The sequence below is a fragment of the Homo sapiens genome, chromosome 8 (genome assembly GCF_000001405.40).
Source record: "Homo sapiens chromosome 8, GRCh38.p14 Primary Assembly".
NCBI lineage: Eukaryota > Metazoa > Chordata > Mammalia > Primates > Hominidae > Homo > Homo sapiens.
The window spans coordinates 67,733,930-67,747,221 of NC_000008.11; the positions used below are offsets into that span (position 1 = coordinate 67,733,930).

Genomic DNA, 13,292 nt, shown 5'->3' on the forward strand with positions numbered 1-13,292 from the left:
AGTGGTGCAATCATGGCTCACTGCAGCTTCATTCTCCTGGGCTCAAGTGATCCTCCTGCCTTGGCGTCCCTAGTAGTGGAAGTGCAGGCATGCGCCACCACACCTAGCAAACTTAATTTTTTTTTTTTGTAAATTCAGGTTTTTCTCATGTTGGCCAGGCTGGGTCTCCAACTCCTGGGCTCAAGTGATTCTCCCACCTTGGCCTCTCAAAGTACTGGGATTACAAGTGTGAGCCACCAGCCTCCCTCTTATCAAGAAAGATACATTTATTTGCTCTTATATAAAAGGTGTGGTGTCAGGCATTGGGGGGAGCAAACAGAGGGTACAGGTGTGTGTGTGGGTGCTTGAAGTAATTGGAGAGTTTTTAGAATAGTAGTGTGGAAGGTGCATGACCTCAGCAAACCAGGGCCCCATGGAAAAAAAAAAAAAAAAGAAAACCCTTATTTTAGGCAGAGAAAAACAAAGCAGACTAAATTTCTCTCCAAAACATTGAAGTAATTTTTCTGTCAGATATGACATTAAGATGTAAGATATTACATTAAGATTTCTGTCAGATATTACATTAAAATGACTTACATTTTCCTCTGCTTCCACAAAGAGTTCTGAAAACTTAGGGAGAACTGGACTCCCCCATATGTATCCTTTTTTCTGCCCTGTAAGTCGAGGGCTTAGAATATTTTTTTTCTGCAGCAAATTTCTAACTGCTGCAAATACTTTGCTATACAGGCTCATCCCAAATGCCTCCAACCTTCATTATGTTTAGCAGTTTTGATGCCAAATATATTGCTATCACATCATCAGACATCCCATCACATCATCCCATCATCCCAAACATGATGGAGAGATTATAATAAGACCCCAATCATCTCATTATAAATCTTGTGTTCTCATTACAGTCACAAAATCAGAAAAAGGAACCTAGTTGACATGTTGGTGATTCATGAATTAGTCTGGTAAGATAAAGACATTCTTAAAGGGAGATAGGGGAAATGAAAATATGACCAATGAGGTCACATGTGCAAATGGTTCCAGCTTCTGTAAGTGCAAACATAGACCAGGGTCCTCATCTAGTGATAGAGTGTGGTACCCTAGAACTTTCATCTTTTATCAGTTGCTAAGATTGAAATGTTATAAAAATACATGACGTGTGTGTTAAGAAAACAAAGGTAGAAGAAAGCAGGAAGAGTGTGTTGACCTAATATACTTGCATTTTCATTTGGTTTTAAATACTTGTTCATTTTTTTTAATCTCTCCCTCTTTTTCAGTTTAGACTGTGGATTAAAACATAAGCCCTCAGGAGACACAGACTGTCGTTTCCTCTGCAAGACACTGCCTGGCACAGCTACTTTGAAGATTCTTAACCATCCTTGGGGATAAGAAATGACAGTCAGGATGTGATAATTGCTACTCTCCTGGTATTGGGTCAGTAAGTGTTTGTGGAATGAGGAAGGATGAGAGAACTGGGAAGATGGATGAGGAGATGGCACCTCCAGTTTTCCGATAACTTAATGAGGAAGAGAATAGATTTGGCTAAGAAGACACTAAGATGCTTTCAGTCTTTTACTTAATTCCTTAGGAAGATAGAAGGTAATGAAAAAAATTGTCAATTTTGTGACAGGATGTGTCTACATGAGAGACTTTCCCACGAATAGCATAACTTACCTAATATAATACCTTGTATTATATTCTGATTTACAAAGTACTGATCATCTTATTAAATGTTAGAGAAATACAAATTAGTGGCAGTCTTTTTTTTTTTTTCTTTCTTCCATTGCTATTACATTTCTGCCCTCTTTCCTTTTAGAGCTCCACTAGTTGCTCTTCCTTTCTCAGTGATGGCAGAGGGAACTTTCTCTTAAAAATAGAATCAACTAAGTTCTTGGCTTAAAGTTGTTCATGAGCATGCTGTTACCTTTGGGAGAAATCAGAAGCGTATGTTACGGGACCTCACCAACCTCTGCAGCCTTCCCTCCCCTCTCCCTCCAGGGGCACATTGCAGGTAACATTCTTCAGAAATGATTCTGGAGAAAACCTGTGGAGCTGGGTTTATGGTTCCTTTATGGACTCATCATCCATACCATCAGCTGGCCCCTCAGTGATGCTGGTGATCCCTCTGAAGGTCCCAAGTCATCTCCTGTCTCTCTTCATAGGACCAGGACCCACCTCCTACTTTACAGAGAAAGGAGAGGCAAACCAGCTTTCAGTCTCTGTGGAGACCTGACTCCATCTCACTTTCCTGTGGTCTTTCCTTTATCACTGGTCTCTCCCTTTCCTTATTTCTACCACCTGGTGTAAAATATGAGCATATCTTTCCTATCTTAAGGAGTAAAAGCAAAAGGGCAAAACACTCCTTTAACTCTATCAGCTCCCCACATTGCCCTCACCCCCACTTCATGGACAAGCTTCTTGAAATTATGGTTTCCTTTCACTGCTAATTTTCTGACATCCCAATTCCCTTCTCAACCTACCTGCTCTAGTTTCCATTCACCACTCCACCAAAAGCACCTTTGATGATATCATGAATGATGTCCTGAATGGCCTACCCAGTGGATACGACTTTGCAGCACTTGATATGATTAACCTCTCCCTTCTTGGATCCCTTATTTTCCTTTAACTGACATCTCCTGTGTTTCTTACTCTGTTTCTAGACCTTTCTGCTACTTTCTTCTCTGCCTTTCCCCTTCTGCTCTATTGAGTCTTTGGCCCTCTTTTCATGTAATGAGTTCTTCCAGGGTACTCCATCCTATACCAAAGGTTTCAAGAAATTCTATTGACACATCAGTTTCTGGAATCTATTTCATAGCCTAGAGGTCTCTCTTGAGCTTCAGATCCGTCTATCCAACTGGGCACTTTATAGGCAGCTCAAACAATACATATCCAAAAAAGTGCTTATCTTCTCTGCAAAGGGCAGTCTACTTACCTGATTCTGAGATTCAATTTACGCTATTCCCTCTGTGAAATAGTGGAAAAATTGTGAAAATTCTACCTCCTAAATATTTAGTTGGTTCCCTCTTTTTTCTTCTGATGTCACTGCCATTAACCAGGCCCTACCTCGTATTACTAAGGTCACCATAACATCCCAGTCATCTTGACACCAGTCTTCAGCCCTCCAATCTTCCCTTTTCAATGATGGCAGAGAGAACTTTCTTTTAAAAATTGAATCAACTAAATTCCCTGCTTAAAGTTGTTCATGAGCATGCTGTTGCCTTTGGGAGAAATCAGAACCATATGTTATGGGACCTCACCTACCTCTGCAGCCTTCCCTCCCGCCTCCTGACTCCCTCAGAGAAAGATGCCTTCTGTTATAGCCATACTCAATTGCCCTGATTTTCTAGACTTGACCAAGCTCTCTCACCTGTAGTTCTTTGCACCAATATATTCCCTGTGTCTGGAAAGCCTTAACCTAATTTCTAGTTGTTCTTGATGACTGAGATCAGGACAATGTCCTTTCAATACCAGCCATTTAAAAGAAAAAGTCAAAATATCTTGCATATTTAATAAACCACTCAAATGTGTTTTTTTTCCCCCCTTTGCAATCGTCACATCTAAGATGACTTCTCTGGCCTTCTGTCCATTCTTCAGTCTGGGTTAGGTGACCCTCTCCTGCACTCACTTGATATCTGATATCAAGAGTTTTCTCTGGAGGCACAAGGATCCCAGGGTTGGAACTGTTTGTTTACCTGCCTGAGTTACTCATTATGCTGTGCACATGGGCTGCTCTTTCATCTCTGTAGTCCTAGACTAGCAGCGGGCCAGACACCCTGCAAATATTTATAGACATGAAATGAAATCCTCCCTTGTTAAACAATTCTCAGCCTTGCCAAATCACTTTACTTCATCCCCAATGACTCTAGAGAATAGGAAAGGGTAAGAAGATTTCTGGAGTCACCAAAAGTGGTGTTGTCAACTATAAAGAATGCTGTGAACTCAGGTGGCCTGGGTTTTAGTCTTAACTCTAGTGCTAGCTCTGCCAATCCTTTTACCTTTATGGAGTTCTGCTTCCTCATATATTGTAAAAAGGGATTGGGCTATGATATATTTTTTGTCCCTTCCGGTCCCGACATTCTATGACTTTAAAAAATGTCATTTATAGAAGAAAAAATGCACACTTTTAATTAGCTGGAAGTCCAAAATTCTAAACATCCATTTGGAGATATTGTTATTTCAAAAAAAAACAAGTGAAAGGGAGAATGGGCTGGTAGTCATTGGATATCAGAGTAACCACTCAGAGAGAGACTGCTGTAGTTATCTCTAACATGTTCTCCCAGATCTGGCCCCCTGGCTAAAGGCTATATTTCACAGCCTCCCTTGCAGCTAGGACTGTCTAGCTGATTCTGGCCTGCAGGAACTGATGTTTGAACTTCTGGTCTGTGGTATTACAGGAGAGTGACTTTTCTTTCCACTTTCCTGCTGGCTGGACTGTGAGAAATGGAAGACTCCTCCTTTGGAAGTTGAATGTTGAGCATGGCAGAGCTGCAAGACAGAAGCAGCCTGGTTCTCTGTTACCACTAACCAGCCATAGCTGTTCTGGAGTTTTACATGAGAGAGAAATGGATTTGTTTAAGCTATGGAGGTTTAGGATTCTTCGTCATAGCAAAACTAAGAAACAAACAAAAAAATACAGAACAAAACAAAACAACCCAATAGTATCCTTACTAACACTGATACTAAAATGTTTTACTATTTTCGAAGTACACTGGAAAAAAAAAGAACAAAGGCTATAATTATGTTGAAGAGAAACACTTAGAAGTTTGCTTCAACCTTTCATAAAATAATCTTTTAGGAAATTTATGACACTACCTGGAACAAGATCCTAAAGCTTTGTATTACGCATTAAAGCACTGTACCATAAAGAAGCTAATGCCTAGAGGCTGATCGAGAAGCCATTAATTTAGCAAAGCAAATTCTAATCCAATAAACCAGTTATCTACTGATTGATCATAATGAAAACTCTAAAACAAGTCACCAAAAACATTTCTATTTTCTGTTCAGTCATTCCATTTACAAAGACAAAAAAAATAATACTTTTGTAGCTTGCACAATATAGGCTGTGAAGTTATAAAACATTAACATCCTTTGCTGCTTTTCAGAGGTTGAAAGTGATTATGCTTAATGGTATTACCCAGAAAGTACCTTGGTGCTATAAAATAAAGGGTCCATTATCAGATTGGGCTTCAAGGAGAGTGGAGCCCAGAAGTATTTGAAACAATCCTCCTTCTACTAGCTCAGTGGGCAGAGGAAGTGCTGACCCCCATACAGTCTGCCTGTGAGTTTGGTTCAGAGGGGTAGAGGACTGCAGCATTGCATGTCTTTAACCAGCAAAGCAGGAGGCCCCAACACACAGAACATACTGCAGGGAAGAAAGCTTTGGGTATAACGAGCTGATAAACAATCAGCACTTAGGGGCTGTACTTTGAGCTAGTGCATAAGGAAAACTAAAAATATTCTACCATTAACAAGGGGCAAGAGCTAGAAGGAAGTTCCAGAAGGCACTGGAGAACTATTCCATTAACTACACACTAACTTGTGGGGAAACGTTCTTAACCAACCTTAGAACCAAGGACATGTCCTTTGTAGTTCCTAACGCCCCCAAATGTAGAGCACATATTTCAACCTGTCACTGATGAGCTGACATGGCCCTTTCCTGCTTTAGGCTCTTACTATGAATGGCGCCTGCTTGCTTTGTTTATTCAGGGTGTGCAATGCTGAATGAAGCTCTCTACTTCTCTGATCTGACTAGATCTGGTTTCAGGGTGTAGGATAAGTGAAAAAGAGGCAGGAAAACAAGATTTTGATGATAGAGGCCTTGAAAGCCATGCAGAGGATTCTGCCTTTGATGTAGTCGACAACAGGGAGCCAAAGTAGGTCTTTGAGCAAGGGAGTGATATGATAAAAAGCCTTATTTTAATAAGCTCATCAATATGAGAAAGGACTAGAGAATGGCAGATCAGTTAGGAGAGAACTACATTAACCCAGACTGAGATTAAAACAAAAAGTCTTATATGTGGCTGGTGGTCATTACAAGGGAGAGGAGAGTACAAATGGGATACTTTTTACAGGAACAGAGGGAACCAGAGATGCATTTCTTCCTTAAGAGTGACACAAGAGGCATATTTGAAGACATGGAATAAAACTCATTAAGGATGCAAACATTGTGAAGAATATAAAAGGTCAAACCAACAATTTACCATCAAATCAGGACCCTTCTCAGTTGGGAAGGAGGCACTGCTGATGACTACACCAGAACAGCAGGTGCAAACTGGGACAGTCCCTGGCAACCCCAGGCCAGTCCTGGGAAAAGGGGGACTTTTGCCCATCATATCTGAAAAGAGCCTTAACTACCAGTGCAGAAGGCAACTCAGATTCACATGACTGGCTCTGATTTCTTGTGCTCTAGACCTAGGTTTCCAAAAGCTCAGAGAACATTCAAAGGAAGCCACCATCAGGACATAAAAGAACACAAAAACTGCTCCTGAGACAAAGGTGGGGGAATAGCCAGAGAGGTAAGGTAGAAAACTAGTATTATGTCTCTGGGGTTGAAACTGCTCTACTGAGTCACTATTTCTCACAATCCTTTTGTCTTCAGTATGCCACATCCAATGTGTAGTCTCTTTGCTAATAGGATTTCAAGGACCAAACTACTTTTATTTATTTTCTTGAGACTGAGTCTTGCTCTGATGCCCAGACTGGAGTGCAATGGCATGATCTTGGCTCACTGCAACTGCTGCCTCCCAGGTTCAAGTGATTCTCCTGCCTCAGCCTCCTGAGTAGCGGGGACTACAGGTGCATGCTACCACGCCTGGCTAATTTTTGTATTTTTAGTAGAAACAGGGTTTTGCCATGTTAGCCAGGATGGTCTCGAACTCCTGACCTCAGGTGATCCACCTGCCTCGGCCTCCCAAAGTGCTGGGATTACAGACGTGAGCCACCGTGCCTGGCCCCAAACTACTTTTCAAAAAAAATCTTACTTCAAGTCTACTTCTGTGAATAGTCATATCCTGTTTCCATGGATGACTATTGGCTTGTGGACAAATAACCATAAGTGGGGCCATAAGCACAGCATGGGTGTGGCTAACCAGCACATACCAGCTGCGTGCATAGTGAGTGATACCCAGCCCTGCTCATACCTATGGTCATGGGAAAAAAGGATATGCCATTCATCAAAGTGGCTTCCCTGAGACACAAAGAAGAAGGGGGAAGAAACTGTCCCAAGACGTGAGAGGCATCTTCAATAAATGCAGGGCTGTCATGAGAAAAAAGGAGTCCATGGAACTTTGCAAGCAGACCCAGTACAAGTAGATTAATACGAGCATATTACTTGGTTCCAGTCCCAAGAAGCAGCCATGATGGTGGGAAGCCAGTCCTCTCTGCATACTCAGCCTATGTGCAGCAGGGCTAGATGATCAGAATTGGCAAGGACATAGCAAGGATGTTCACCTCTCCTTCTTGGTTCATTGAGCTCTTCTGTCAGCCCTCAGGAATCTGTTCATCCCACACAGCAGGGGTCCCAAAACTCCTGGCCACAGACCGGTTCCAGTTGATGGCCTGTTAGAAACCGGGCCGCACAGCAGGAGGTGAGTGGCAGGCTAGCCAGCAAAGCTTCATCTGTATTTGCAGCTGCTACCCATTGCTTGCATTTCTGCCTGAGCTCTGCCTCCTGTCGATCATCAGTAGCATTAGATTCTCAATAGGAGCGAGAACCCTATTGTGAACTACCCATGCGAGGGATCTAGGTTGCATGTTCCTTATAAAAATCTAATTTCTGATGATACGTCACTGTTTCCCGTCATCCCCAGATGGGACTGCCTAGTTGCAGGAAAACAAGCTCAGGGCTTCCACTGATTCTTTGTTATGGTGAGTCCTATAATTATTTCATTACATATTATAACGTAATAACAATAGAAATAAAGTGCACAATAAATGTAATGCACTTGAATCATTCTGAAACCACCCCCGCCACAACCGTAGAAAAATTGTCTTCCACAAAACCAGTCCCTGTTGCCAAAAAGGTTGGGGACCACTACCACACAGCACTTACACATTGTATAGTAATTTGATGTGTAGGCAATTTTCTCTACTGTACAGCAAGCTATCAGAGGGCATTCACTCTGTTGGTCAAGTTCTCAGCACACAATGGGCATCCAAATAATACTTGCATGAACAAAGGCACACAATCACAGCTACTTTCTGTTCTACTTTTGTGTGTGTGTGTGTGCGCGTGTGTGTGTGACAACAGAAAGTTCTTTCTTCTTCTGTTTTCTATCCCTTATGGGCCCTGCATGCTTTTCTAATAATGATTCATTATCGGTGACTCATCATCACCCTAGAGAAGGTGACCAAAATTAAACCTCCAATTTTACCTATATAATCTCTTTTCCTTTATTGTTCTGAAACTATCAGTTCCCCAAACAAGAGTAAATCTTCCAGTTTTTCTTAAAAGCAATTCTTCTCTGTGCCTGAATAAGTGGCAGAGTGAGAAGTACAGTGGTGGAGTCAGGCAGAGCTGGGTGAGAATCTCAAGTGTGTCCTTGAGCTAGTTAGCCCTGAACTTGGGCTATCTGGACTGTACTTCATTTAGCCTATTTGTAAAATGAGGATAACAAATGCATAAGGTTGTTCTTAGAATTAATGTTTTTATAAATGTTTATATTAAGTCTTGGTAAGTATTTTACTATCCTGTTAAGTTCTTACTAAGTGCCAAGAACCATGCTATTCTTGAATCCTCCCAGCAACTTGGTGAGGAAGGTCTAATATTACCTCCATTGTCCAAGATAAGGAAACCTCAGTTTAAGAAGTTAAATAACTTGTCTAAGATAACAGAGCTACTAAATGTGGGAGAGCAAAAACTGAGACCCAGGCAGTTAAACTTCAGACTTATGCTACGCTGACACATGAAGAAGGCACTCAATAAGTAGTTTTCAAAAATCATGGCCATGTTAGTTCTACAATTTTGCCAGAATTTATTGTTACTGTCTGAGATCTCTCTTTTACCACTATTTTAAAAATCTACCCTAATTTTCTGTGACGCAGAAGATTTTTTTTTTTGGTTTCAATATCACAGCATAATAAATAATCAGGTCTGCTTTTGGGAAAACAGGGAGATGAGGGAGAAAAAGAGAAACACAGAATGATGTTTGCTTGTCTCACTTACTGACGGACATTTATTGATCCCTGAAATGTTTGGCTTGGCATTTGTAACCCCTGAAGCCCTTGACATAAAGTACCAATAAATATAATCGAAGTCGTTATTTTCCACTTTGCTTCATTCCTTTCCTATGCATTTAAAGATCTGCCTTGTAAGTGTTTAATGTAGTTAACAAAAAAGGCACTAGCTTTTGTCATCAGATTTTTCTTGTAGTCTTTCCACACATTTTTTTAAGTTTTTAATTTTTGTGGGTATATAGAAGTATATACATACTACTATATACCCAATATATATTTATGGGGTACATGAGATGTTTTGACACAGGCATGCAATGTAAAATAAGCACATCGTAGAGAATGGGGTATCTATCCCCTTAAGCGTTTATTCTCTGTGTTACAACAATTCAGTCACACTGTTAGTCATTTCAAAATGTACAATTAGATTATTGACTATGGTTACCCTGTTGTGCAAGCAAACAGGTCTTACTCTTTCTAACGTTTTTAAATGACCATTAATCATCCCTATTTCTCCCCAAATCTCCCACTACCCATCCCAAGGCAATTTTTTTTTTCTGAGACACTTAAATTTACCATTTACTAAGCATCTATTACACACTTGGCACTATCCAATTGTTACTAGTTTATGTCTAAAGAGGACTGCCCTCATTAGCTACTCTCAGGAGGCATGCTGGTCTGCCCTGTGTGTTCCATTTTTTATTCATGCTCAGGGTCCTGTAAATGATAATCACATATTATTAGATTCTACAAAGACCTACAAAAATATTTTTACATGAATGCAAGAACTAGGGCTGCCCCTTCATTAGTAGCAAAAAACAAATGAGAAAAATTATTAAGGAATAAAAATGAGGTGGCTCAGAATAACTTTGGATGGATGAAACCAGCCAAAAAAACTGCTAAATACTCTTCTACCATGTCTTCCCATCAGATTCTTGTTCACCGGAAGGCTAAACTTGCAGAAAGTAGTTTTGGAGTAAACAAAGCAAAACATTCTCAAAGCTGAGCAGCATTTCTGTCTTTTGCGATGAGAAAATGACATGTCTAATGAAGGTAGAATTCCCCATTTTTAACAGTGAATATGCTCAGAAATATTTTTGCTTTTAAAGAAGCTCTAGGCTTGTATTGCAATGGTTGAGTGAGACTCACTTCTTTTCATTCTCTCATCTTTTTCTTCCCTCCTACTCTTAGACATCTGGTAATTTATACACTTGGGATTAACTTATGTAGCAACTGAAGAGAAAATAGCAATTATTATGTCCATTGCTGAAAACAGAGAAGGTAATGAAACTTTTTCCTGAAGGGTTCCAGTCGCTACAAATTCTATACGAAAAGGGTGCCACCACTGGCCTCATTTCCTCTTCAAAGTGGTGCTTAGGGAAGGGTGCACACCTGCTCAGCTGAAGCAGGCCTGGTAACTTTTCACGGAGGAGTGCCACACGCTGAAATAATTATGCACAGAGCCACAGCTGAGTGGAGGAGTGAGGTCTTAGGTCATACACGTGTGTCTAAATCTGTGATCTATGTTTATCATCTGACCCGGCATCAGCCAGGAGAGTCAGAATTAAGTCCCCCACAACCCAAGCCTGCACCATCAGTCTTTAAACATGAGCTTCTTTTTTCCAGATCTCTAAAGGGGTCACAAATTATCGGAGGTAAAGTTGAGATCTTGTATGTCCAGGCCAAAAGGCAGCCCTGGGATGTTAACTCCTTTCCGTTCCTCCCAGAAATACTGGGGTGGAAAAATCCGTGATCATATTGCCATCTATAGCCCCTACCTCAGCCAACACCTCCATCTCATCCTGCCTCCCCTAAAACTGAGGACATGTTTCCAAAATTTCCTCTGTAAGCACTGTATTCAGAGGAACCCTAAAGGCAGTGCCAAGATTCTTTGGGAGAGAAAGAGAAATACAATTCTCTTTTCCAGGGTCACACTTACAAATTCTCTTTTACACTATTTCTAAAAAGAACAACTTGGTTTTAAGACACTGTACACTACCTTGTCATGATCCAGATCTACATGAAAACTTTTCTCAGGTGGTGATTATTGAATGATAGTAGCCTATTTAAAAATATGTAAGACACTGAGTTTACTCCTCTGTAAAAAGGAATTGAACTAGAGGAAGTATTTAAGGTTTTTCCAGATCTAAAGTGCAGGCAAGCCATAATTTCCAGATTCTAAGAACGACCCCCTGCATATGTGAGCAAATCACATGCTGTCTATACCACAGCAAGCCTTCAGGATAATAAGAATGTGCATAGTAACACACGGCTTCCAGCCCTCTGCCTCCTGAAGAAAGGCATATAGAAAGCATGCTTACCTACGGAGGGGGGACAAAACTGATTGTTTTACTCCTATGTTTTTCCTTCAGAAAAACTATCCATAATTTTACAGTTGACTACTTTTATTCTGCTTATTTTGAGTTGAATCATTTGCATTGCTCATATTTAAAAATCTAATAACCACTCTACAGACTAATAAGCACAGACAAAAAAAAAATCACACTCAGTTCTTAATCACTGATGAATTTCAACCCACCGCTCCTACATACAATTGTAAAGAAAGGCTTAGTTTTCAGGTCATAAATCATGTAGGACAACAGCATCCCCAAGCATCAACCAAGGCAAACACTGTAAATACTGACCATGGCTACTCCAAAGACAGAATCCCATTCAACCCTGGGTCCACAGCTAAGGTTGGCACATGATAAAAAGTATAAAAAGCCAGGTTGGAGCCCACCACATTCTCTCAGTGAGCTAAAGCCAAGAGCAGAGAGCTGTGAGTACATTTTATATAGAGGACCGTGAAAGTGTGCAGATTCACTCAGAGACCCCCAAATCAGAAAAAGTGAGGCACACTCTGGAGCAAACCAGCCCCCAGATCCAAATCAAAGCTGTGTAGGGCATGAATGTCGCTCCACTTACCCAGCATAGCGGTTGTTATAAAGGTGGCTGTGCCCCGGTTGCAGAATCTTCAAAAAGAGCCAGCAAAGAGGCAGGAAAGCAGCTGCCTGGCCCCTGCGCTTCCCGAGACACTTCATAGTGTTAAGAAGAGAGGAGTTGAAAGTTACTTAAGCAGCCACCCGAGGCTGGAGGTGGCTCACAGCACCCTCTACACACCGCACAGGTTCTCCGGGAAGGGGGTGGGCGAGGAAGGTTGAGAGTGAGCAAAATGTGACACTTCTCTCCAGCTACAAGGGAAAAAAAAAGTTCAGGCAGCTGAGGAAGGGAAGTTGCTATTACGACTTGGTCTTGGGACAAGCAGCAGCAGCAGCAGCAGCAGCTGAGCCTGATCTTTAATCAGGCTCCCCTAGAAAGGGCTGGGCCTCCCTCGTGCTGACTCACGGCAGGGGTTCACTGGGTGCTGCTTCCTTTGGGTGACTCCTCTCTGCTTTTGGTTTGTTTGCTTTCCCAACTTGAGGCCTCTAACTTTTCTGTGCAAGCTTTCTTTCTCTATCTTCTTCAGCATGAGGATCCTACCTAATTGCAAATGATTTGTCTGATGGGCTAAACAAGCAGACATGGATTATTCCAAGCTTAATGTTTTTTTGATCTCCCATGACAGATTCCTAAACGGATTCCACCTAATGAAATGCACAATGAACAATCATGATGAGAACGTGCACGGGGGTACCTATAGCACCCAGATCCGAACAGCTGGCTTCAGTTCACTGCTCCTGACTTACAGGAGTGGTCAGTGGCTTTATTGGGCTTCAGGGAGATCTTGGTACTCATTCTGCATCAGCAGCACCCAGACCTGCTGCTGTTTCAGAGGTTCTCGTGGGGAATAGGAGGCCTTCGAGTGCTTTGCCACCTTGGCTGTACATTTGGAATCATTTAGGGAGCCAGACCTTGAAAATAGAAACCGTGGTGGTGGGATCAGTGGTTTAAAAAGCTCCTTAGGTGATTCCAATATTCAACCACCATGCTGGTCTGGAGCAGGGCTTCTCAGAGCTCCACATGCATAGAAGTCACCTGGGGATCTCATTAAACTGCAGCTCTGACGTAGGTTGGAACAGGGGCCTAAGAGTTTTTATTTTTCTTTTTTGAGACAGAGTTTCGCTCTTGTTGCCCAGGCTGGATGGAGTGCCAAGTCCCCATCTCGGCTCACTGCAACCTCCGCCTCCCAGGTT

At 41.6% G+C, this 13,292-nt stretch overlaps 1 protein-coding gene across 3 annotated transcripts in view, besides 1 other annotated feature; it reads right to left on the reverse strand.

The window, feature by feature from the left end:
- CPA6 (carboxypeptidase A6) overlaps positions 1-12,431 on the reverse strand; it is a 324,323-nt gene extending 311,892 nt beyond the window's left edge. For all 3 annotated transcript variants that reach the window (NM_020361.5, XM_017013646.2, NM_001440615.1), the window contains exon 1: positions 12,085-12,431. In NM_020361.5, coding sequence (NP_065094.3) covers positions 12,085-12,200 — 116 coding nt within the window. In that variant the 5' untranslated portion in view covers positions 12,201-12,431. The remainder of the gene's footprint in view (positions 1-12,084) is intronic.
- Positions 12,257-12,757: an enhancer, noted in NCBI's record as "H3K4me1 hESC enhancer chr8:68658421-68658921 (GRCh37/hg19 assembly coordinates)". NCBI's record gives its function as "activates a minimal SCP1, AML or CMV promoter by ChIP-STARR-seq in naive H9 embryonic stem cells {active_cell/tissue: H9 hESC(naive)}" and the evidence as "EXISTENCE:reporter gene assay evidence [ECO:0000049][PMID:30033119]".